General features: G+C 44.1%; 2 protein-coding genes and 1 long non-coding RNA gene across 6 annotated transcripts, besides 13 other annotated features; 2 read left to right on the top strand and 1 right to left on the bottom strand.

Annotated features, from left to right (window-relative positions):
- Positions 1 to 875: 875 nt before the first annotated feature.
- Positions 876 to 23,168, bottom strand: SERTAD2 (SERTA domain containing 2). The gene is made up of 2 exons (NM_014755.3): positions 22,875 to 23,168; positions 876 to 6,130 (listed from the first exon to the last, which is right to left on the bottom strand). Exon 2 carries the CDS (start codon positions 6,124 to 6,126, stop codon positions 5,182 to 5,184), a length of 945 nt encoding a protein of 314 aa, NP_055570.1. The 5' UTR covers positions 6,127 to 6,130; positions 22,875 to 23,168; the 3' UTR covers positions 876 to 5,181.
- On the top strand, positions 6,179 to 17,821 carry SERTAD2-AS1 (SERTAD2 antisense RNA 1). Of its 4 annotated transcripts, none has more exons than XR_001739502.2 (2): positions 6,179 to 14,826; positions 15,680 to 17,821. It is a non-coding gene; the product is annotated as an SERTAD2 antisense RNA 1 (long non-coding RNA). The 4 variants fall into 4 exon arrangements; XR_940172.3 differs by having other exon boundaries at positions 6,179 to 14,699; XR_007086374.1 differs by having other exon boundaries at positions 6,179 to 14,365.
- Positions 11,473 to 12,256: an enhancer, noted in NCBI's record as "H3K4me1 hESC enhancer chr2:64869352-64870135 (GRCh37/hg19 assembly coordinates)". NCBI's record gives its function as "activates a minimal SCP1, AML or CMV promoter by ChIP-STARR-seq in primed H9 embryonic stem cells {active_cell/tissue: H9 hESC(primed)}" and the evidence as "EXISTENCE:reporter gene assay evidence [ECO:0000049][PMID:30033119]".
- Positions 12,552 to 12,861: an enhancer, noted in NCBI's record as "active region_15898". NCBI's record gives its function as "activates an Ori minimal core promoter by ATAC-STARR-seq in GM12878 lymphoblastoid cells {active_cell/tissue: GM12878}" and the evidence as "EXISTENCE:reporter gene assay evidence [ECO:0000049][PMID:35858748]".
- Positions 13,040 to 13,823: an enhancer, noted in NCBI's record as "H3K27ac-H3K4me1 hESC enhancer chr2:64870919-64871702 (GRCh37/hg19 assembly coordinates)". NCBI's record gives its function as "activates a minimal SCP1, AML or CMV promoter by ChIP-STARR-seq in naive H9 embryonic stem cells {active_cell/tissue: H9 hESC(naive)}" and the evidence as "EXISTENCE:reporter gene assay evidence [ECO:0000049][PMID:30033119]".
- Positions 13,422 to 13,521: an enhancer, noted in NCBI's record as "active region_15899". NCBI's record gives its function as "activates an Ori minimal core promoter by ATAC-STARR-seq in GM12878 lymphoblastoid cells {active_cell/tissue: GM12878}" and the evidence as "EXISTENCE:reporter gene assay evidence [ECO:0000049][PMID:35858748]".
- Positions 13,542 to 13,621: an enhancer, noted in NCBI's record as "active region_15900". NCBI's record gives its function as "activates an Ori minimal core promoter by ATAC-STARR-seq in GM12878 lymphoblastoid cells {active_cell/tissue: GM12878}" and the evidence as "EXISTENCE:reporter gene assay evidence [ECO:0000049][PMID:35858748]".
- Positions 13,792 to 13,951: an enhancer, noted in NCBI's record as "active region_15901". NCBI's record gives its function as "activates an Ori minimal core promoter by ATAC-STARR-seq in GM12878 lymphoblastoid cells {active_cell/tissue: GM12878}" and the evidence as "EXISTENCE:reporter gene assay evidence [ECO:0000049][PMID:35858748]".
- Positions 14,466 to 14,636: a silencer, noted in NCBI's record as "fragment chr2:64872345-64872515 (GRCh37/hg19 assembly coordinates)". NCBI's record gives its function as "represses an EF-1alpha promoter that drives an FKBP-Casp9 reporter gene in an ReSE screen in phorbol 12-myristate 13-acetate-treated (for megakaryocytic differentiation) K562 erythroleukemia cells {active_cell/tissue: K562(+PMA)}" and the evidence as "EXISTENCE:reporter gene assay evidence [ECO:0000049][PMID:32094911]".
- Positions 15,848 to 15,897: a silencer, noted in NCBI's record as "silent region_11559". NCBI's record gives its function as "represses an Ori minimal core promoter by ATAC-STARR-seq in GM12878 lymphoblastoid cells {active_cell/tissue: GM12878}" and the evidence as "EXISTENCE:reporter gene assay evidence [ECO:0000049][PMID:35858748]".
- Positions 22,132 to 22,211: a silencer, noted in NCBI's record as "silent region_11560". NCBI's record gives its function as "represses an Ori minimal core promoter by ATAC-STARR-seq in GM12878 lymphoblastoid cells {active_cell/tissue: GM12878}" and the evidence as "EXISTENCE:reporter gene assay evidence [ECO:0000049][PMID:35858748]".
- Positions 22,512 to 22,841: a silencer, noted in NCBI's record as "silent region_11561". NCBI's record gives its function as "represses an Ori minimal core promoter by ATAC-STARR-seq in GM12878 lymphoblastoid cells {active_cell/tissue: GM12878}" and the evidence as "EXISTENCE:reporter gene assay evidence [ECO:0000049][PMID:35858748]".
- Positions 22,950 to 23,244: a silencer, noted in NCBI's record as "tiled region #66; HepG2 Repressive non-DNase unmatched - State 1:Tss". NCBI's record gives its function as "represses a minimal TATA promoter and a strong SV40 promoter by Sharpr-MPRA in HepG2 cells {active_cell/tissue: HepG2}" and the evidence as "EXISTENCE:reporter gene assay evidence [ECO:0000049][PMID:27701403]".
- Positions 22,950 to 23,801: a biological region, named in NCBI's record as "Sharpr-MPRA regulatory region 66".
- Positions 22,982 to 23,801: a silencer, noted in NCBI's record as "silent region_11562". NCBI's record gives its function as "represses an Ori minimal core promoter by ATAC-STARR-seq in GM12878 lymphoblastoid cells {active_cell/tissue: GM12878}" and the evidence as "EXISTENCE:reporter gene assay evidence [ECO:0000049][PMID:35858748]".
- Positions 23,326 to 24,478, top strand: LOC124907776 (uncharacterized). The gene has a single exon (XM_047446580.1). The coding sequence runs from the start codon at positions 23,535 to 23,537 to the stop codon at positions 23,964 to 23,966; it is 432 nt and encodes a 143-aa protein (XP_047302536.1). The 5' UTR covers positions 23,326 to 23,534; the 3' UTR covers positions 23,967 to 24,478.

Raw genomic sequence — 24,528 nt, forward strand, 5'->3', positions numbered from 1 at the left:
CTAGGCCAGGTGAGGCCAGATCCCATGACTCCATCCAAGACAGCCCAGTGGCCAAGGAGGTTGCACAGGGTCTCCCCCACTCCCCACTGGAAGACAGCAGGGGCAGGGTCCAGATGGTATAATCAGTGGGTACACCTGGAGGACGTGCAACAACCACGTGACCCACTGGCATTTTAGAATGTCAACTCCAGCATCAGGGATGGTAGAGAGACGATCACAGCAGGAAGACTAGTCAGGAAACAGGTACGGCGGTCAGAGGCAAGGAGAGAGAAAGGGTCCGAGCTGGGGACGCTATGGTGAGGATGGAGAGGTGGTGGCAGAGGGAATGACATGGCTGGGACTGCGGAACAGGGTGCAAGGGTGGGCAACTGAGCCAAGCGTGGAGCAGAGTGCTGAAGACAACGAGCCCACAGAAGAATCAGCCCCCAGGGGAAACGAGAGCTCTTTAGACGCGCTGAGAGTGAGGGAGCAAATCTTGGTAGATACTGAAGTCTGGAGCTCAGGAGAGAGGCAGGGGCTGGAGACCAGTTTTGAGAGTCCTGAGTGGATTAGATCACCTTGGGAAAGCAAGAGGCAGCAGGAATGGAGGCTCAGTGAAGTGCAGTCATGGGCCAAACCCTGGAAAAGACAATGTTTTAAAGAGAGCTGGGGCACAGATGTGAGAAAAAGGAGGTCCAGAAGGGTCCAAGAAGCAGGAGGAGAACCAGGAGAGAAGGGTGGTTCCTGAGACCAGGACGGTTCAGGAAGACCAACAGCACGCACTCCTTCGGGGCCCCCCTGCTGCTCTCTCTTGCTGGACTTTGCTTAATGTGAGCAAACTGTCACAAATAAGCTGATTGAGCTCCCATCAAAAGAAAACTGCAAGCATGCCTCTCTCATCTTTTAACTGTTTATTGTATAATATAAAACTACAAAAGTAAGACTGCTCATTTCCATGTACATTTAATCTGTCCAATTGTTTAGATTACAGCCCAAACCTACATGTGAATACAGCCATCTGGGTTCCGATGTAACGTCTGTAATATTGCATAGAAAAGGCACAGCTCTCAGGTCTGTGGGGGAAAGGTTATACCTCCTTTTTGACAAAAGCCCTCCTCAAAAACCATGCACCAAACATGTCACTATGTACATCTTTTTTCAAAATCTCGGTCATGCGCACATATGGCCTGCATTTCTCTTCCAAAACTTGTTATCCCCAAAAGAAGTCCAACTTTTTATTGGCTTTGTCTGCAATAGCATTTGATCCTGGCTAATTTTCAAGAACCATTCAGACTCATTCTTAGAAACACTGAAAACAATTGTACATAAGCAGGATGCACACAACTCCATGCCTCCAGGTGCGGGGCAGTTACAGGAAGGTAACCATTTACAGCCAGAAAAGGTTAAATATACTCTTTTCATTGTTTTCAGAAAATGTATAAAGGTCCAATTTGTAACAGCAAGGTTTTCAAATTAAGACAATTCGTATAGAGTAGCAATTGCTGCACGAAGTAGAGTCTTTTTTTTTTTTTTTTTTACATTTGTCATTTAAGAAGGCTGCCCTGCGGTATTCATAATTCATTGTTTACCACAAAGGTGGTTCATAAATTTAAGCTTTAAAAACGATCTGTAAGTTGATACTTTGGCTCTTTGGAGCTTATTTCATTAAGAAATTTTCCTTGATTGACCTCAGGGCAGCTGGGGCACTCCAAGGGGCTATGGCGATAAAAAGCTCAATTGGTAAAGACACTCGAGAGGTGCAGAGGAGGCTCTGGCCACTGCTCACCCTTTGGTATGAACAAGGGTGCCCATGTGGTTGCTCCTTCTGTCATCCAGAGAAAGTGCTACTAAAAAAACTTTAAAAAATATCAACCCTTTGATGCTTTTCTTAAAAATTTGGAGGTATTAAAACATTCCTCATACCTTTTGCATATTTCAAATAGACCCATATTAGAGAAGAGTAAAAATGAATGCGGACTGTGCATACAATGAGAAGACCTGGGGGCCTGGCTTGGACCCCCTTTTAATACAGATTTACATTCCTACAAGAGAATACATTCCTACCATACATTCTGCACATGTTACGATCCAGATGTTAGCGCTCCACAGTAAAATAAATATATTTACACAGAAAAAAGGAATAAATAACTTATGGGGGGAAAAAAACTCACTTCAAATTCAAAGCTCTTACGATTCTGCTCTCATCTTGTCACTTCATTGCACATCAGTGTCAATAACTGTCCTCTCCCAGCCCCAGCTCGGTTTTCTCGTAAAGGCACCTCAAGCTGCCTGCCTGGCCCTGGATGCCATGTGATGTCTTTCATAAAGGGAAGGCACTGCTGGAAGCACATCCCACACTCAAACTGGGACTTGGAGATCCCACTCCAGCTCCTACTGTTCCCTGTTGGGACATCACTTTGTAAGAATAGGATGCAAAAGCAATTAGAACCCTAGATCATTTTGATCTTTCTGAAAATGGGCTGCTAATTTTCCATGTCTTTCTTGTTAGACTTTGAGTATCAGGGATTTATGGCAACGGTGTCAGAGTTAAAAAGCATTTGCCTGCTGTTTTTGGGGTTTTTGTTTTGATTTTGAAGCCCAGCCTTACAAATACATAAGAGTCAGAGAACCAAGTTTGGGCAACACTTCTCCGTGCTTATTTGAACTGTTGCCCAACATATGGGATTTGTTTAAACACATGATTTGCTAATCCAACAAAAGTACAGTTGTTGTAAGTTACTGTAAATCAGTTTTTAACAATGGCAAACCAACTGTTTTACCCTGTTATTGTTCAGAATCATCAATACTATTGTATATGTGTACGTAGGTAGATGTGTGCAGCATGCGGCAGGTTTGCCAGGTCCTCCAGTTATAGAAAGCATGGAATCTGGGCAGACTTGTTCTCTGCAAGAAAGGGAAGCTCTTAAAATTAACAGGCATACTGACACTGGAAGCATCTACTACAACCCTCACCTCAGTTACATGGTCCCTGGTCCTATTAAAGGAAATGACACACCTGTAGCAGTACGAGGTGTCTGCGTGGAGGTTGCTTGTAGGAGAACAAGTGCAATTTGATCAGTTTCTCACTGCTCTACTGAGCTGATAATTAGCCTTTAAAACACATTCAAGTGGGGGGAAAAAGTAAATTAGAATGTAGAAAGCCTTTATCATATCATACTCAAATCTTTTGCTTAGATGAGCAGTTCCTTCATCACAAACGTCTTTGCTTTGCCATGTGCATTACAAAAATAAAACTAACTATGGCTTGCTTAAAGTGCCATTTTATAAAGTTGTCTTTTTTAATTAGCCAGAAAGACCCAATTTTATCCATGGCAAGAAGTGAGCAGAATTGGTGACTGAATATTGACAAATGACCAACAACAAAGACAACAACAACAACAAAACATCCCATAATTTAAAAATTTTTAAATAAATATAAAAGTTATTCCTAAAGAAGCCATCTGCATAACAATATAGGTTGTAACCTGCACTCAACAGCTAAAGTACCATTGGAAGAAAAGAAAAAACTGAAACAAGAAGGCCATAAACAGTTTCGGCAACAAGCATGATACATTGCAACCTTTTTAAAATTAAATGTACACCACTAGGAATAAAAAGCTACTTCTCAAGTGTGTCCTGGGAGATAAGGTGATGGGGGGGGGAATTGGGGGGAGGAGGGAAAACATGCATAGAAAGTCCTGTCTGAGTTTTGGGGTAAAACAGCCTTGACAAGTGTGAAGTAGCTGACTCAGGAAAGCAACCAGATGGGAAGCTGTGACGTAATGTGATGAACTCCAGGTTCAAGAGTCACACATGTTGTAAGAGTGCATCCCGGGCCGGCCGAGGCGAGCCAAGCTCACTGTGGTGATCACGAAGATGCCATTTTCAGCTCTTAGCAACACAGGGAAAGCTCTAGGGAAAGGAAGCTGCAGAAGACAATTAAGCAACATGATGGATGCCTTCTGGGGAGATTTTCTTCTTTAAGGGCCCTAAGCATTGCAACAGGGCTGAGTTCCATGAAGAAGTTGGTTGCTTTTCGGATGTAAAATTTTGTTCGGATGTAAAATTTCAGGTCATCATAAAAATTATGCCAAAAAGGAAAGATCTGGGTTTTCATTAAAAAACAAAATAAAAACAATTAAAAGCGCAAACTTGGCATAAATACACTCTTAAGAAAGACAGTAGCTTTACCCTCAAAAGAGGGAGCAAAAGAGAACCATCACTTAAACCCCCAGCTCCACAGCCATCTCCCGCCAACTGCTTAATGCAAGTTTGATGAGCACATGTGGCTCTGGCTTTGGAAGTCACAGTACTGGCGGGTGTTGGTGCCAGGGGGTCAGTGCTTGTGAAATTTGGGTGTGATATCACCTGGCCCTTTCTTAAAGCACTGTGTGTGTGTTTATGGGTGTGTGCATGTGTGTGCCTGTGTTTGCATTTGGGGACATCAACTGCAGATTGATTTGATCCAATTTTCTCTTGCACCATACACATATAAAACATTACAACTCTATAAAAGTACAAGTGCAACTTGTACATCTGAAGTTTGCAGGAACTATGTGAGCAAATCCTATCAAAATAGCTATCTCATATGTATAAACAGCATTTGTTTTTAGAAAAACAATATCATAAACTGCAGAATCTGTACAAAAATATAAAATAAATTTGGGCAGCAGTTTTCTAAACAGCCATGTAAATGCAACACTTACGAGGAGTAGTTAATGCCTCTAAAAAGGCCGAATTGCCAAGTCAACCTATACAGGGCAAAAATGCCAGAAAAGGTACTGAGATTATCTAAATAAGATATATATATATAGTTTTCTTCTTTACCTCTTGCAATAAAACTTATAGAAAAAATAGACAAATATGCACATGCAATTTACAGCTTTTCCAACTTAATCCTTGTGCTTCACTTGAACTGTTTATTTTTGTCATTCAACATTGCAACATTGTCTTCAAATGGATTCTTTCCTATACCAGGGTAGTAGGTCTCTGAGGAACCACTCAAAAAAGTGTATTAAAAGTGGTCATACTTGGATGAAGGCACTCCAACTCTGCTCAAAGCAAAAACTAGTGTGATCCTGTTGTAAAATTTTCTTTTTCTCTGAAAAAGGCAAGCAAGGGTGCATGCACAGTGTGGAGAACTGTCAGGGTTATGGGAACGCTCTGGGGTCTGGGTGGGCATAGTCGCTGGGTCCCTGGGTCTTAGGACCCAACAAGCACCTCCATGATGTGGTCCAGCTCTGTGAGGTCCATTTTGAAAGGCTGACTTGGGGTGACAGGCTGACTGCTGTAAGGAGCCAGAGTTTTGAGGAGGTCGTCGGCAGACACAGGGGCCATTTTTGAGGCTGTCCCTGATGAGGAAGTGCAGGGGTCAAAATCATACATGGACGTATCAATGTCAGCAAACAGGATGTCATCCAGGGTCAAGTCTGTCAGGAAACCCGTGGACGTCGTTATTTCAAAATTCCCAGGCAGAGAGTCCATCAGTTTTGAGTCATCTGCGCGGCTCTCTTGAGGACCGTCGAGTTTCTGGGTGCCAGCCTCGCTGGAGGTCCCTTTCACACTGTCAGTCGCAGCCGTGGCCGCCTCTGTGGAGGTAGATGTGGGACAGAGCTCCTCGATCTCGTCCAAGGCAGAGGAGAAACTGTCCTTTTCTGGCAAGAGGGCTGGAGGTGACAGTTTGGTGGGAGCCGTGGGCTGCATGGCCTGGGAGGTGCAAAACGTGTCATCGTCGTCCTCGAGCAGTGAGGCCGGGGTGAGGCAGGCCTCCAGGGGCGTAGTGCTTCCGAGGTCGCAGGGGTGGGAGGACGGGGACGCCAGGTGGCTGAAGGCCGGCGGGGCCTCTCGGTAGCTGTCGCTGGGCTCGGTGGTGGGCTGGGAGGAGGGGGTGAACATGGGCCTCAGGCTGCCTTCCTGTTTGAGTTCCTCCTGGATCCGCCTCAACATGTTGTTAATTAAAACGGTCTTTTGCAAGCTGGGCTCTGTCAGGGGCCTGTGGTTATAGAGTTTCATAAGGGAAATGTTGAAGATAGTCTGGCGCTGTAAGGTGTAAGACACCTTGGATGGACCGTCACAGGGAGACACGATTTTGCCTTCCAGCCCATCTTCATGCTCATCAAACTTCCGTTTTCCTCCTTTACCCAACATATATCTGCAGAGGGGAGAGAGAGGAAATGGCATTAATCACATGAAAGCTGATTTCTCCCATAAAAAAAGAGACTGATTTAGAGGGCAGGACTTGGACCTCAGTTTCCTGCCCAGGGTTATTTACAAGTACACGTGGATTAATTAGGGGTGGGAGGAAGGAAGACCTTTTACAATAAGAGAGAGTTAGAAAATCCACCTTTGTATGCCTGTGGAGCAATTTTTATCACTAGGTAGTCTGGTGAGTGTATTTCTTGAGAAATGTGTACGACACAGACAAGTTAAGAATTACCATGGAAACCATGATTTTGACTTTCTCAGCTCATGTGCTTGTGTTCGCATGCCTAAGATTATCATGCAGGTTCGATTTCCCTCCCCCACGTAGATTTATTTTTAAAGCCCAAGAAAACACTTACAATGCTATGACCTAAACAGATACAGGTGTCATAGATTACAGCTTGAGCACTTCTTAAAGGATTAAAAGAACCAAGTTAAAGAAAGGTAACATGTATAATTTGGGTAGAACTGTGTGTGCTTTCAAAATGCTTTTCCTTCCTCATTAAGCACGGAGTCTTTCTGCCTGGTTGGGGACATGTGGTGAAGCACTGCACCTGTGTTAAATGACCACAGTGACTGAGCCGCCGCCACTTTTCATTTAGAATCAAGGGGAGGAATGCGTATGTCCCAGCCTAAGTTCTTCCTTGGCTCAACTTCATCCACACACAGTTATGTTTGAAGACAACTGGATTAATTTTGAAGTAATTAGCTCTGATTATAAGCATTGCTGTTTGGGTACTCGAGACATTTCCTAACAAACTACCTCCTGTGATTCCAGAGATACATGCATATTTTGAGGAAACCATGACCTCATATCTCAGACCCTGAGAATCTGGTAATGGGTTGAATTTTAAAACTGCAGCCAGGAACTCCTGCCCCATCTTGCCTGCTGCTCACAGGCCAGGCTGTGTCCTCTCTTGCTCTGGCCTTAGTGAATACATTTTATCAACTGGTTGTCACCTTCTGGGGAGTGGGCCTTCCAACTTTCCAAGATCATGTGACATCGTCACAACCTCCTTTCAGAACTTCTACTGTCTAAACAGAACAATCTCAAGTTCATTAGCCTTTGCCTCAAAGATCTCACTTTCTAACCATTTAACAAGAAACCTGTCTTTTGGTGTTCGGACCAGGATCGTGGTTCGAATGAAGCCAGGCCCATGCTTGCTCCCTCACCGTCCCCGCCTCCAGCTACAGCACTCTCAGGGACTCCTGCTAATCCTGTCCTCAGTGTGACTCACTCTCATGTCTTCATATACAGGCAACTGCTTTGTAGTTATTCAATTTCTCTTCTAAATGCCACTTACCTTTTAATGAACTGCTTCAGCTGATTGATCACACCTCATTCAATCCTTTAATAACTTATCCACATCTACACTGTCATAGGCATTTGGCCAGGCCCAGTGGGGAGTCCCACATGAACACCCTGGCCTTCAAGAGGCTAAATAGCCCCTCCTACACCTGATCACCATTTTGAATTTCAAGTCTCGACCTAAAGAAATAAGGCTAAATGGAATATAAACTTCACAGAACTTCTTTCTCATACTTTGTCACAAAGCAGGCCATGCTGCCCTCAAGGCCAGTATACAGGTAGACATGGAGCCTGCCACTTGGGGTAACCGTCTTACCTCATGTCTCATGAGGTCTCCAGAAGAGACAGATGAACAAGCTGCGACCTATCAACATCAGAATCGGCTTGAGATTTGTTAATACTTATGAAGAATGTGGAGTTACTTGCATGAAACATTTCCCCTCATTTTGTTAACATTTAAAAAATGGCTGTCAATGTCAATCACAATGACCAGTCCAGTAATTAATTGTTCTTCAGGGCAATAAAGGTTATGATAGTAACAGTTGGTTTGTCTAATACTTCAAGTGATAGACATATTTCCTACTGTTTAGTGCTAAAATTCTCATCTGTGTATTTACTTTGCATAGAACATTTCCTATCTAAAGTATCTGTTTAAACTTGAAGGTGAATCAGAGTGGAGGTGGTTTCATCTCATATTGCAAAACGTTTTCTACTTCATGCATGAGAGGTACTACTGGACAACTGGGTTTTGAAACATAACTGTATTCACAGGTATGCTATTGGTATTTGCTTATAATTTAAGCATTTAAATACTTATAGAAAAATTTCACTTTTGCTAAAGAGCTAAGTGCATTTAATTCTCATATAAAGTTCTAAGATTTATGTTATGTTATAATGTGATCATGGCAACATACTTAAATGTGTGAGTACACAGATACATACACACTCTAAAATAGTGTTTCTCAAAGTGTGGCCACAGATGGTGCCTGTCTGCGAACTGTTACTGGTCCACGATGAGGTATGTAGAGAGAGACATTTTATTATTTAGAAACTTCTACAGCAAATTTACACAGTAACTGTTATGTCTGTACATGGAATTTTTAAAATGGGGCTTCTATTTTCCATAACTTTGTATTTTTATTTCATTTTATGATAATTATTTTTATTGTGTCTTACTGAAGTCTGTGAAAGATTGGGGGGCCAGGGAACCAAGAGAGCCCCTAATCACAGAAAGCTTGAGAAGCACTGTCCGTAAGTGTAAAACAAAATACAACCGAAAACAAACTAGCTTATTGCCACTGTGGATTTTTATCGGTTTTCTGGAGGAGAGGTAACATTTAGGGAAGATGGTGTAGACTCTTCTTACAGTCATCAATGCAGAATTGTCTTTTTAAAGACTTGTTACTAGAACAAACAACAGGGCTTTTTTAATACTGCATTTTTCTAGAAATAATCACTGAATCTACAGAATTCACCTATTTAAAAAGTATACAGGCCATGCAAAATATTATAGGCATTTAGTAGAATTCCCATAGCTGAAAGAGATCTTTGGAGATATTTTCAGAAGGATTTCAATGTGAGAAGCACCTAATTTCCAATTAGAATGATCCAGCTGGCCAGAGCTGTGTGCTAATCCTAATGATTTAGAGAAAGCCTGATAAGACATCTGTAATGCTGCCTGGAAGGGGAGGGCAGAGGGCTCGGTAAGCAAAACCTGTAAGCAGGAACAGACACACACACCAAATCTTGGATGCACCTCAGAGGTGTGAATACGGACCCCTGATGAAGTGTACCTCAAGGCAGTTTTGCCACCATTTCTCTGTTTTGTATTATAAGGCAAAACTGACTCCACACACCCAGTAAGATTGTAAAATGCATATAATCTTGATTTTTAATCCTAATTCTATCTAAGCTGTTACAGAAAGGAATACAATGCAACATAATAAAAAGTGAAGTCATTTTCCTTAAGTTTGCCTGACACACTGCAGTAACATTACAATGAGCATATTCAGAAGAGGCCTCCAACTCCTAGAGGGGGAGGGCAGTGGGAACTCTCACTCTCAGGGCTTTGTGTAACAACCACCTCCTTAAGCAGGGCCCAATTTAAAGGAGAAAAGACACGACATGCCCTCAAGAACCGGAGGGCAAGAAGCCAGGCGCATCAGCCCCTCCAGGCCTTTCTGGGCCTGGCTCAGGCTGGCCAAGGTCAGGGTCGGCCCAGCTCCTAGCTCCTCAGAAGCCTCTCTTTCCTCAGGCACTCTAAGAAAATAACAATAGCTCTTTAACCACCCTTTGGAGAGGCAAGGGACCTTTCAAAAAGGCTTCGCTGGGCTGCAACTTGAAGATGAAGCAGTAGCAGGAGCTAAGGACGTGTAGGTGACTCTAGGGAGGGGGTGCTGTGGTTCCTGCGGAGGGGGGGCCTGGAGTTCACGAAAGGGGGGCCTGTGACCCATTGGCTTCCTAGGTCACCCCGGGGCTTTGACACTCCACTTTATCTCCTCCCTTGGCTGGTGAAGACCAAAGCCTAAAAAACCCATGTCTTCTACCCAATTTTTCTAAAGACCCAAAGTGCCCCTGAGCTCCAGGGCGGGGTTGGAGACTCCCACGTGGAGGAATCACGTGGGTGCTCCTCCATCTTCTGCCCACCCTAAGGGGCCTAAAACTAACCCCAGCCACTTTTCTACTGAATAGTCATTGGCTCTTAACATGAGGTTTGAGATCAAATGACCTCCCTCCCCAATAAACTTTTTAGAAACAAATTCCTAGCATTCTGGTTTTCTAAACATTAATTTTAACTGCTATTAACTGCAGCAAACTAAGTTTCAAACATAAAGAACAAAACTCATTGGTAGAGACATAAATGAAAACTTCTGGAGTTTTCCAGGAAACTTCATACTAAACACAACTCTGTACATGAAAACTAGTTTTCAACTGTGCAACTTTTCATTAGGAAGGACCCTGCCTTCAAAAGCTACAATCTGGGTAGATGCTCAAAAGTAACAAATGTCACTAGAAGTGTCCTCAAAAGTCAAAGGACCAGAGGACCAGGAGCCTGAATGACTTGACTTTTTGGGGCTTTGCAATTCCAGAATCTGAGTGACTCCCACAGTAAGCAATCTGAGAGATTACTGTGGGCTGGGGGCGGCCGGGAGACTGCTGGAAATAGATTTGTAGCCTATTTGAAAGTTACATTTAAGGTGGGATTGTCTCTTCATATCTGTTTCCCATCTCAAGATAGTGAGCCCCCTAGGGCACAGACGGTGTGTGTTTTGTTCACTTCTGTACCCTCAGCATAAGGTAGTCTCCAACACAAGATGCTCCATAGATGGTCACTGAATACACGAACAGTAAGTGGAAATAATGAGGAAAGACACCAAGGGGCAGCCAGGGCAGCACTGTAAAAACAGAGCCAGGTGTGTGTGTGTGTGTCCTTGAGCGTGAACTGTGTCTGGGAGGGAGGGTCTGAGGAATGGGAGGGTTGCACAGACCTCGGAGTTGAACGGTTTTACAGGCGGGATCAGGGTCGCGCAATGCACCAGCAGCTGAGATATGGAGTAGGCAGGAAAGCTCCAGCTGAGAAGCTCTTCTGTGAGCGGCTCTCCCATCCTTCACTTCTCAACCACGGACAAGCCTTAGGTTCACCTGGAGGCCTGATAAGCACAGGCCGTTGGGCCCCACCTCCCATATTTCTCTTTCAGCATGTCTGGGGAGGAGCCCTCAAATCAGCATTTCCAACAAACTTTCGGGTGATGCTGGTCTGGGAACCTCACTTTGAGAATTACCATTTCTTCTTTTCCTCATCAGGCCATTTCAAGTTTAGGCCGGAGGATATCTTTATTCAGTTAATCTTGATTCCCAAGGCCTTCCTTATTTGTGTCTAATTTAGCAGGACAAAAAGGAATGAACAGCATTTTTGTGATAGCAACTGACAACTGACATTAGAAAACAAAATACTGCACGCAGAGTTAAGATGTCTTATACTCAATTTTAATGACAAAACTCAGGGTCTCAAACTGATGTGTCAGATCCTACTGGCCCAGTGGGGCCCAGATTCTCCTTGCTGGGGTCTTAAAGTGATGGCAGTGGGATCTTATCCAAAGCCCAGAAAGGAACTGAAACAGTACTTACGTTTAAAAGAGTAAGTAACATCTCCCACTACTACATTTTGCATTTTGGAAAAAAAATGCAAACAATTTTTTTGAAGATGAATCAGAAAAGGTTATCTTTAGCTCAAGGTTTTTCAACTATTTAAAAGCTACATCTTTTTAAAAATCTTTTTTTTTTTAAATTACTGTCCTTTAATGTTATTTGAACTGTCAAAGTAAATGTTATGATTTTTTAAAGTGAGAGTATTAAATTGACTTTTCCAAACTACCACTTCTGTCATCCTACCACCACCAACAAAAACCACTGCTTTAACCTGCAGGCTCACCCCAGCCTCTGCAGCATCACAGCGTCCTGGTGGTTCCCTCGACAGACCCTGGGTTGGGGGGGCAGGGGCAGTGTGGGGGCTGTAGGAGGCCGCACAGGGAGCCCTCCTCAGACCACCAAGGCTGGCTTGCTGGGTTTCTCTGTGCCAGTCAAAAAAAGATGCAAAAGTCTTCACAGATGTAAAACTCTGCATTATGTTTTAACTTGATTCATCCCAAATGATTGTCATTAGCCCGGGCGGAAGGAAAACTCTCACTGATAGACTTTTCTACTCTGGAGAAAGAGAATTCATGCCACAAAATGACTTTAAAAGGGGGTCAAATTCACAGCTTAGTTCTAAATTCTTAAGAGAGGAAATAATTGGGGAAGGTGTGACTGGTCTTGTGACCAAAAAGGAATCAAAGATTGAGTGGAGACACCTGGTCCTGCACCCCTGGGGCTTGTGCAGCTCGGCACCACCCTGACCTGGTGCGGGGACAGACGGGGAACTCAGGAAAGCATCGCCTTAGAAGCCCAACTGGTTTGTACCTTGTGTACGTTTTCAAGAGCTTTTTCCAATTTCCTTTTGGGAAACAGCAACAACTACACATTCTGTATGCTCCCTTCTCAGGAGAGCAGCAGGCTTCACAATTAAGTGGTATGTTGTTTTAAAAGTCAGGTAACAAGGCAACACTGAACTACAGTGTCTGCCGTGGTGTACGGGCGGCTAGTGGGGTGAGCTGGCCATGCTCTGCCGCTCACCTGGGTGGAGAGCACAGCTGGGGCCTGCCTCATGATGAGTCACCGGCCTGCACACGCGGGATCCTGCACGGCTCTACATGCACGCTATACTTCAACAGGAACGTTTTCAAAACGCTAGCTAACAGCTCTCAGGAAAAAGGCTCCTCATTCAAAGGGGAGCTTTAACAAGCTGTATGCCTTCGCAGGGCAAGGTGGCTCACGCCTGTAATCCCAGCACTTTGGAAGGCCGAGGCGGGTGGATCACGAGGTCAGGAGATCGAGACCACCCTGGCTAACACGGTGAAACCCCATCTCTACTAAAAATACAAAAAATTAGCCAGGCGGTGGCGGGTACCTGTAGTCCCAGCTACTCAGGAGGCTGAGGCAGGAGAATGGCGTGAACCCGGGAGGCGGAGTTTGCAGTGAGCCGAGATCGCGCCACTGCACTCCAGCCTGGGTGACAGAGTAAAACTCCGTCTCCAAAAAAACAAAACAAAACAAAACAAAAAAAACACCAAGCTGTATCCCTAACCTCATCAGACACACTGTCCCATATGGCTGCTGGTGTGACCACTGGTTGCTGACAAGTCTAGAGGTGTCAATGCTAACGCTAAAACCAGAAAGATGAGGCCTTTAACCCAACGCCAACACTCAAAGTAGTGATCTGCCCTCATGTACCCACCTCTTTGGAAGAAAAAAGAAGTGTGGCGATTGTCTTATGAGAAGGCTGGCAGCGGTCCTTCCCTTCCCCTGACATACTGTGCCACCAAAGCCCACAGCCCTAAGTGGAAACACATTCATACTCCTGGTGTCTTTTGGTGGTGGTGGTAGAAGAAAGGGGTGCCCCTGGTAAAATTAGCTGGGCATGTGGCAGACTTCTGAGCCGAAAAGAGGCTCAAAGTAGGGCCAGGATTGTTTTGAGACAACTTCTGAAACACAGAATATGCTGTTTCTCTTCTCTTCACTCCACAGGCTGGTCTCCCAGTGCGTTTAGGACCCTGCTTTTGAGGCATCCAAGTGGGAGAGCCTCTGTTCATGACAAAAGGGAACCTCCCACCAGCCTGAGGGCGGGACGCTGAGGACCCCAGAGCCCTGCCTCCAGGCTGCTGTCGTAGTGTGACACAGCAACTTCCGAGCAGGAAGGAGAAGCCCGATCCTAACTGGGGGAAGCTGTTTGCTTAGACAACTTTCTACACTTCAAATATTACACCTTAAACAACACACTGGACTAAGAAATCTGATCATGTCCAGGCTTTTAACACCCTCCTCCCCCAAGGAACAATAAAACACACCAGCGAAAACAAAGAGGCTGCCCTGAAAAGGTTGCAGTGGTGGATGATACTGGCAGAATCAGAAAGGAAGCTAAGAGAAACAGGCGCGTCCTCAGCCGGGCCTCGCGTGTCCTGACACTGCAGCAGGCACGGGATGTGGGCTGTCCCCTCCAGCACAGTGCGGGAAGGTGCTGGGGCATCCAAACAGCAAAAGCAAACCTGAGACCCCAAAACAACTGCGTCTGGCCCAGGGGAGTGGGCAAAAATTCCAACAGGGAGAGACCGTCTCTGGCTTATTTACAGACAGGGTAAGTAAGGATGCCCAAAGACAAGGCGGAGTATTAGTAACAGAACTCATGAAGTTCTATGGATCGGGATGCTTTAAAAAAAAAAAAAAAACACCAAAGCTCATCCAGAATGTCTGAGGTCCCTGCAGTAACATCCATGCTAATTGGTAAGTAAGACAAAGCCTCCCCTAACAAATCAGCAATGTAATTATAAAGCCAGTCACTAGATCAAGCCAGTCTCCTGTGCTCCAGCGATATTCTGAACCTGTAACCCGATACCACTGTTTGCTGCCGGCGCCTCCTCCGGGCTCTCCCGCTGCGCACCGGCCGCGCGGGGGCCCGCAGGGCAACGCAGCCTAGGCTGTTTGTGCAAGATGAGACCCTGCATTTGACGAAGACCTGCAGGAGCAATCCTCCCGGCTTTCTTGACAGTGAAGAAGAAGAAGAAGAAAAAAAAAGCCTGACGATACACTGAAATTCGAACAGGAAGTCAAGCCCCAAGTAAATTTAAGAAACAACTTTTACTGTTTGGGGTTGTTTTCTAAAGTCCAAATTTTTAAAATTCTAGTTTCTCCTCTCAGATTTTTACATGCTCCTATTAAATTGAAGGCAATTTCCAATACTGGAGGTTTGTCAAATATAAACTTTTCTCCTAGTAAAATAATTTTTTAAAAATGTTGACAGCTGCATTTAGTAAGCAAAAACATAGTCAAATTCTGGGAGGGAATGTTTCAAGTAAATATTTCTTTAGAATAAATTATGGCCTTGTTAGTACACATCTGGAAAGAGAATAGGCTTTTTAGAATATAAATGTCAAGTGGTATAAAATGTTTCTTATATCCTGTCTTAGTGGTTCCTCTGCCAGCTGGGAATTTTAAGTTTTAATCCCAACTCTTATGAAGCTATGGACACCAATTACCTTCTTCCAAGGACAATGAGAATGCTGCCAATTGTTTTATTTTATCTAAGGATTCTGGCTAAAAGTATGGTACACTTGATTTAAAAAAAAATTAGAAAAATGCTTTGTTTTCTCAGTTTTAAGGAATTTTTTTTAATTTATAAGGAAAAAGGATTACTTGGGAATGGCACACTTAATTCAAGTAAAAGGTTGAGTAGAATTATACAGTTTCTAACCTTAACTTAACAAAAACATAATATGCTCTGATGCCTGGAATTTGCTTTAAAATACTCCAAAACAAACAAACAAAAAAAAACCCAAAACCTGGCCATGTAGATGAAACAAGATTTGACAAAATGTTGATACCTGCTGAGGCTGGCTGATAAGTACAAGGCGGTGCTTTGTACTCTTCCTTTTACTTTTGAATGTGTTTGGAATTTTCCATAATAAAAAGTTAAAAACCACAGCACGCCAATACATATTTCTAAATTAAAACATATAAAATGAGCACAATAAATTACTCACACCCCCAGTGAAAACTATTATATTAATTTGATAGGGTTTTTTTTTTTTCTTCACACAGAAGAAAGCTATTAGTGCTCCATGTAAACAAGCACGCCCAATTCAAGTTGGAACTCTTTAAATTCTGGAAGACAGCACATCACATCCAGCCACGAGGGGGCGCAGCCGAGCAGCAAGGAGCGCAAAAGTCTCATTCTTCACTGCAATTTCTACCTACAGCTCTCTCAAAGTATACACATTTTCAAGATTGTTTCCAAATTCAGGTATCCACAGGACACTGCTAAGCAAGCTGGGAGCTTTGCCAAGGCCAAAATAAATTAAATTATGGTACGGTTCAAACTCTGGAAGTACTGTGTATAGGAAAGGTTGTTTCTCTGTATATAAAAGTTAATACTGGTATTTCAAAAACCATGGTTAAAATCCCTGGAGGATTCCTGAAATGAGAACAAACACACAACAACAAACACACACCCAAGTCATGAGATGTGAACGTGGAGAAACCAACAGTTCAGAATTTCCAGTGGGGCTTGCAACATGGACTCCCAATAAAACAATGAGTCTCAATAAATTCGGCACTAAGCTTTTACCAGTATAGATAGACGCCTTTACTGGGCCTACTTACTACTTCTTAATAACTATAAATTATCTCCATACTGAACAGATACTGCTTCAGGCAGTTATTTGGGAAAACCCTTCATAAAGGACATTGGAGAGGGGCCATTTAATTATAAAATGTAACACAGTTAACCTTAGGGAGATGATGAAGCGAGATCATTATGTGTAACTACTTGCTGGGATTCTTTCTATTTAAATTATAAGTTCAGGTTATATGATGTTGTATGTTCAATAATAATGCTCATAATAGATGAAATGTTATAATGAGTCTCCACATTTGAAAATTGGAAACTATAAACATATCTATATTTTATAATCATTTGAATTGTGATACTACTTCATAATAATTTGGTGTCAGAGTATGTTTTTAGCATTTTGAGTCTAAGGCCTCATTAACATTAGGGTAAGGAACTCTCAGATTTGACAATTTTTCCCATAAGATTACGTGCTTTACTAGTAAAGACTAGCCAGCATTGCCCAACCTCCCATTCTCGGGCATAATGAAAATATTTTTTCTCCTGTATTTATAATTGCTTGGATGGGATTCTGTTTCAATCCTCCTGTAGCATCTTTTCCCTAAAGATACACTGTTTTTCTCCCTCACACTAGAGACCCTTAATAAACAATGTCAAGGAGGTGGGGAACTTAGAGTAGAAAGGAAAGGCTTTGCCAAAAGTATGTGACAGTTTTTGTGTTTAAAAAAAAAAAAAAAGACTCAAGATATATGTAAGTCTTACTAAAACAGGGAAATATAAGGTTTTAGAACAATTCTGTGAAAGATAAAATTACATCTTAGTTAAAACCAAAGGTGGCCTTCTAGGTTTTATTAGACAACTATTTGCCACTGAATAAAACTAAGGAATAAAAGTAAAGTATGCTACTTCAAGAAATGCTTCAATGGAAGCTTTTCTTAAAAGTTAAAAATTAAAAACTAGTCATGCCTTCAAATCTGGATGCTTCATTACTATCAAAGAATCACTTAAAATATTCCTTACAAATACAGAACATATTTCATCTTATAACTTATCCGTGCAGTCCAAAGAGGAAAACCTGAGAAATGTTGTTTCTTTTACTTACTGTGTAAAACTGAACATTGTATTGTACGGCCTAAACTTGGATTCCCTAGAGAACAATATCACATTTCTACAACATGACATGAGTACAAAAATTTGAGGTGCAGGATAATAGAAATATACTTGAGACATGCAAATGGAAGGAAATAACTATTTTATGTAATACCTGTCCCATGTAAGTAACCTACATGTTCCGAATGTTTAATTTGGTTGCCTCTAAGAATTAGGTAGGCTAATAAGGTTTTACAAAGACAATTTAAACTTTGTATCATATACCTGAATAATTCACACACAGACAATAATTGTAGAAAGAAAAAGGCAATGAGGATACAACTAAACTTGAGGGGAGTAAATGATACTTTGTAAATATGGCAGCCATTAAAGAATAACTACTTTGGGACTATTTTGAGATAAAATGTTTGTCTTCCCAAGGACTTCTGTGCATTGATAATGAATGGCTCATTGAACTTTAAGCTATGTCACTTAAATACAATAAAAATAATCAGAGTACCACACTAAATGTAATAACTATTTATTTTCTAAGGAAAATACTTCATAATTCTTCAATTACCTTCAATGGTCTTCATGGAAAGCCTTCCTCAACCTCCCCAGCCTGCCACCCCCAGCCTGCCACTCTATTCATTCTACCTGTCTTCTGGAGCTTTAGAAGGAGGCAGGAACCACCTGAAGAATTGAATTTTTAATGTGTAAACCAACTACTTGTCAGAGAGCTAAGAATCACTGCCAGTGAAACGTATTTTATTTTATATTTCTGGACATGGTAAAACTATTTAAAAAAATTAGTTTGCCTTAAAAAGTTCAGAAAAGACCACCAAGTTCCTGACAAGCAGAGAGGCAGAGCAAAAATTCTTCCACTCTGGATCATAGCACCCAAATTCCTCAGGCAGATTGGTTTTCTCTGATAGCACGGAAGACACAGGAGAGGTACAGATGGGCAGGGAGATGTCCCCTCAAAGAAGGAAAGAAATCTGAAAAGCAAATCTGTATCACCTATTATAAAATGGGATAACCACACAGGGAAGATCAGTTTAAAGCAGCTGCCAGCTCGATATCTCATTAGCGTGACTAGGATTTTATGCAAACCTGTTCTGGTGTAGAGATGACCTTGGGACTTTCAGATTCTCTGAGTTTAACTTGGGCAATACTTCTAAACACAAGGGTGGGGTACACCAGCAGGCCTGCTCCAAACCCCAGGAGCTGCAGTGCATGGCGTGGAATGATAAGCAGCCGGCCGGAGCAGAGGCAAGCAAAGCGCTAAAGGCTGATCTGGAGCAAGAGACTTTTGATCATTTAGTGTTTTTGACCATGGTCTATTCAAGTGTACATTTTACTTTTCTTCAACAGGTTCACTCAGCCCACTGTTAAACATCAGTGAGTGTGCATATGGATATACAGAATATATAGACATAGATCATGTCTGTAAGAACCAGAATCCCTTCCCCTTTACTATTCTATGGGAAAGTCCTTAGAGAATGCTTAGCTTCTTTTCAGTTAACTGCCTAGGAAGGTTTTTAAAGGAAAAAAGCTTAGAATTAATTAGTAACTCTGCAAAGCTACAGGTTTTTGTAAAGTGACAAAAAAGATAGTAAGGCAGACATGAATGAGTTTTAAGAACTGAAGTTTGCTGCTACCTGGAGTTACTAGAGAAACAAAGCTGCCTTTGGGCACCTCAAACTAGTCAGACCTGCTATAGCAGTTGCACAGTCAGCTCCAGATCTGTCCTCTGCTCTTCTCCCTCCAGCCCCCACCCCACGCCTCCGCATAGCTCAGTCCACTCTCTACTCAGGGTGGAGGTGGGCCGGGCACACTCACCCCTTGATCTGCTGTCCCTGTGGGGAGGCAGGGCCAGCTCTGGCCAGACAGTGTGCAAGTGTAAGAATAGGCCGGCCAGGAGCACAGATGCCAACTCCATTCTGAGCTGAAAACTGCAATGGGTGCGGAATACAGCTTAGGTGATCTTGGGTTTCCAAAATAGATCAATCAAATTGTGGGGTTTACTTCAGAGAATCCTAGCATTAAGTTCAGATGAGGGACAGAGGATTCTGAGAAAAGACAAATGGGTCTTTCCAGCTTTGGGATCCCTCAGACCACAAAGAGGGCAGAATTTTCAAAAGAGAGTTTGCGCTGTCTATATGTGGTGCTTGTTCAAACTGGCAGTATCTGTTCTGTCCTATTAGAAATCATATATTATAAAATATATTGTGATATTTTACTTTAAAATTTTCATTTGTATTTCAAAGAAAATTTTTAGACAGCCAATCATGTTTTGTTTGTCTCGTGATCTCCGAGAAAAAAAAAACAAAACAAGGAGTCTATTTATTACTCAGAATAGGAATGTCGTCTTATTGGGCTGACATATGCCATTCACAGATTCATACAAAGAATGAACTGCCACACAGTGCTAATGGAGAAAGACACTGCTCCACACAATGAGTGACGGACGCTCCAGGGGACAGTTCTGTTCATAAGGGTTTCCCAGCATCTGCACACAGGGCATAAGTTTGCCTTTAATATCAACTGCACTGGCCATTTGAGACAATCATTTTTTCTAGATTAGTAGCCATTTCCTTCAAACATACTAAAACTAAATGAAATAGCCACACATTTCTTAAACAGGAGTCCTGGCTTGTGGCTTTCTACCAATTGCTTAATGAGTAATTATTAACAATATGTACAAAATATATGAGTTGTGCATATAAAGTGGCCATGGCACTTTTAGATTTTCATGTTTTGCTAGTCAGTATTAATTAACAGAAAGACCTATGAGAGCTGGTGTCACCCTTATTGTGAGGCCATTTTCATGTCAACTGGAGCTTGCCTTCTGGTGCCTTCAGTACACAACTGATCTTTGGACTCAGTAATCAGAGACGGCGCCTGCGCTTGCTCTCTCTCTCACGCACCAAGTAACTATTGCAACTAGAGCTATCTCCTATAGGATATGCCATGACAGTGAATACAAAATTTCTGTTGCCAAGAAGCTTTAAAAATTCTATGAGTGAATTAAAGTTCATGGCCCCAAATACGCCTATCTATATATAGCTTTTTCCACAGGTAATATTGACAAAGTGGTCTTGATTCTGTTGATATATGTGAAATATAAAATAAAGCTTCATACTTTTTTTTCTGTGCTTTTTAACAAGAAACCACAGCAAAAGAAACCTCTCAAAGTTTCTGTTCCAGCTTTCACCTTTCTTAGTTACTAAAATGTAAAATATTTTGTCTGAGGGTAAACTTGTAGTATAATTGGACACTGATAATAAAAGTAGCATGCTGCAAGTTGATAGAAATTTTTATGTATTTGCATTCGAACATCTTCAAACTGCCTTCATACGTTTTGTAATGTTTTTTGTGTGTGATGCATGTGTGTGCCTTTCTAAAGTAGTGTTGTAACTTACTCTGCCATTGGAACCCTGTTTAAAATAGCAGATACCATAAGCTATCAGTCGCCACACAAATTTGAATGAGTTTTAAAATATCAAAATATGTGCTATTTTACTAGGCTCATTATCAGTAATAATTCAGTGTGTAGCAACTGGGCAAAATTCATATTTTAGCTTCTCAATTAAATAGAAAAGCTTTAAAGAGGGACAATTCAGCAAACAGAAGTGTAAAGATTTTCTAAATCTGAATTAATATCCTTCTCTTAGTTCTTCAAGGGAAACAAGCTTGAGCAGCTGTTACCTAAGACGCTGTGACATTCGCCTGACAATAAAACCGTTCCCTAGGACACCTCCTGTCACACATACACTTGGTTGGCTTTACAAAATGTGAGTCCTCTCCCTTACCTGTCTGAATGAAGTAAGGAAAAGGGCCGGGTGTTAAGGAAAAAGGGGGTTGGGGGATGTCAAATCCAAAATAAGATTTCTCATCTGAGAACAACATGGTTATGTATATTTTAATTAGGGGGTGAAACAAGTAAAAAAAAAAAACTGTTAAAGGATTCCAAACTTAATGAACGACATAAACAATTTTATATTAACATATAATACCCCTCTAAAGAAGTCAATGAAGCTAAAGGAAAACTTTTAAACATTTGTCTCTTTTAAATAAAAAGAAAAAAAACCCTGAAAAAATAAACAGAAAAGCAGAGATCCACAAACAAACTATTCTTGTTCACTCCAGAAGTTGGGATCTTAGGATGGATATTTTCATCTTCACAGCACACCCTAGCACACTCATATCAGAATAGACTGCTATAAAAAGGGGGAGGGATGGGAGCTGCCAGGGTGAGACATGCCTTCTGCTGAGCTGAGCAACTACCCCCAACCCCCATCGGCCAAGCAGCCCAGACGCTCTCAGGTGGACGGTCCTTCAGGGGCGGAGCGAAGCCCAAAGCCCACTTCACTCTTGTCAGGGACTAGTCTCTAACTACAAAAAGCTACTGTGAACACTTAGGGCCTCAGGAATCCTGGTGACTACAACTTCTAGCCTCTTTACACACATTATGGATATTTCTTAACATACATTGGGAAATCAAAAAGCGTATTTCATGAACAAAGCTTGAAAACATGTACTCTCTACCCTAAGCCCAACTGAGGCTGCCCAATTCGATTCAAATAAAAACTGCTGTGGTCTGAGGCTGGCTGTCTCACTCTGCTGACTGTCCTCCCCATTCAGTGTCTGTGAAAACTTACTTTCTACCTCCTGAAACGACTCGGCTTGCAAGCAAAAAGTTATTCCAATGCAAACTATACCTGATATTTTCGTGAAACTTAGAAACTAAACCTAAAACTCGACTCCCATCGCAATCTATTACTACCACTTCTGCTAAAGGTAACTTATAGCCAAGAAAACAAAACAAAATACGATTTTCTGTCCATGTAGTGGCCCTGTGACGACACCCCCTCTCTTACTGGTACAAAGTCTAGGGCTTGGGACAGCTGGCTCCCCTCAGCCCCCTCCCTTTCAGTCATAGGCGGTTACCACGAAGATGACTTGTAGATTTCTAACTTAAAAACCAACGAGACGTTAAGTTTAATATACATGTAGATCCCAAATCAATTCATTTGGGCATGGACGAAAGAAAAGAGGGTGGAGAGGAAGGTTTTCAACATTATTAAAAAAAACACCGGGAAATTCACAAAAACGCACTACAGTAAGTTGGATGCAAACCCGGCCACGGAACTCAAAAGTGAAGCAGCCTTCGCGCCAGCAATCCGAGCCTTAAAAAAAGTCTCGCACGTTCACAACAACACAACCGCCACAACGCGCACACACATCCCAGCTGTAGAGGCGACAGCTCCAGGCGCCCCCGCCCGCCGCTCGGCTCTCCGAGCTCCCGACCCCCTCCTGACCCCGGCCCTGCCCCCCAGCGGCTCAGCCCGCAGGCGCCGGGGGTCCGAGAGCGCGGGGCCCGGACCGGGGCCGCGGGAGGGAGCGCTCCTCCCGTACCTGCTCCGTCCCCGGCTCCCTCCCGCGGCGGCGCCCGGCCCCTCCTCCGCCCTCCGGGCTCTCCCAGCCCTGGCCGAGTCCCAACACCGGCCCCCCATCCACCCGGAGCCCCCCGCGCCCGCGGATCCCCTCCAGCCCGACGCCGGGAGAACTTACCACATGCAGCTCCACCTGGGAACTAACGCATCAGGAGGGGTTTCCGCCCACTCCTCAGCTACTCCCGCTCCATGCGGAGTGCCCCGCTCCAGGGGCCCGAGGGTGGCGCCGGGGAGCGGGCAGCAGGCGAGGCTGAAGCTAAGACTCCGCCGTTCTCTGCCTGCGCGCCCCGAGCATTATACAATGGTGGAGGCGGCGGCGGCAGGCAGCGGAGGAGGAAGCAGGAGGCGGGCGGAGGGGGCGCCCTGACCGAGCGAGCGGTACGTCGTGCTCCAGCACTCGCCGTGCAGGAGTGACGTGCGGCCCGCGAGCCTCCCGCGAGCTCCGGGCCCCGGCGCCGCAGGCCCCGCCCCTGGCCGCCCGACCCCGCCCCCGCCGGCCCCGCCCCGGCCCGCCTCTCCCCGGCGGTCCCGGGAGGCGCGATAAAGGCCGGGGCCGGCCGCGGCCGGCCGCGGCCGCAGGAGGAGCAGGAAGGGGCGGCGGGGCGCAGTGGGCGCCTGGTGGCAGCGCCGCCCCCAGCTCCCTGCCGGGCCGGCGCGCCCCTGATTTTCTCGTAAGGACGGGCTGAAAGAGGAGGGGAGACAGAAGGAGACACTCCGGCCCGAGGACCACCACTGCCACTAGTAACGCCCCCTACACACTCTAGAAGTGCTCAGGCGAATGACGAAGCGGCTGGTGACAAAGGCGGCGGCGAGTGCAGCGCGTGCACAGCCCGCGGAGCCGCGCGACCGCAAATATGACAAGCATTTGAGCTATTTGGCAACGTGGGGCCGGTCAGCGGGGCGGGCAGGGTCCCCGCGGGGGGCGAGGGGCAGAGAGCTGGCCCGGGCGCCCGTCTCGCTGCCTGCAGGGGTTCCTGGGCGGGGGTCCGCTGCGGGACACTCCTCCGAGGCCCGCACTGGTCCGAACGGCAGGATGGGGGCTCCAGCCGTGAGCCGGGGACAGAAAAAGTCCCTTGCCCGCGTGGCCTCAGCCCGACACGAGAAGTGGGTCACCAAGTCCACGGCACTTTGGGAGCCGGACCGAACGAGTTGCATCCTTCGGGGCCGGCCGGGGCTCGGTGCAGACCCGGCAGGAGGGAAGCCAAGCTAGGAGACGCAGCCAGGTCGGAGGCGCAGTCCTCTGCCCACAAGTTTCACATTGATAGCCTTTCCCTCCCGTGGAGTAAGCTTATGCTTGGAACTACTTAAATTTACCAGGGAAATTTATACTAGTTGGAAGAGAATGTGTGTATGCCCAAATGGTGAGAATTTAAGAGCACTAGGGAAAGAGGCCAGATAGATGGTTCCACTGGAAAATTAATGATTATTTTAAAAATTACACGTGCATTCAGCGTCAAGATGTAAAAGGCAATGCAGGCAGGCACCTTAAAATTTTGGCTGCCACCCCAATCAATATCATTTCAGATCACTTTGGAGTTTAATGGTCCACTATACTAGTTGTATTTAAGAATAATAAAGCTTTAAGACCTAACATAAAGGCGATTGTAAGTCGTTAACATCAAGAGAAATTTAGACTTGTTTAAACTGTTCTGTAATGATTTGTTATCAATCAAATTGATGATCTCATCGAAATTAAACTTGTGCTGAAATGTTGATAGAGGAGACAACGCTTCTTGTTTTATCTTTAAGGAGGATGGAAAAGGTTTTTACTG

This window comes from Homo sapiens, chromosome 2 (genome assembly GCF_000001405.40).
Source record: "Homo sapiens chromosome 2, GRCh38.p14 Primary Assembly".
Lineage (NCBI taxonomy): Eukaryota > Metazoa > Chordata > Mammalia > Primates > Hominidae > Homo > Homo sapiens.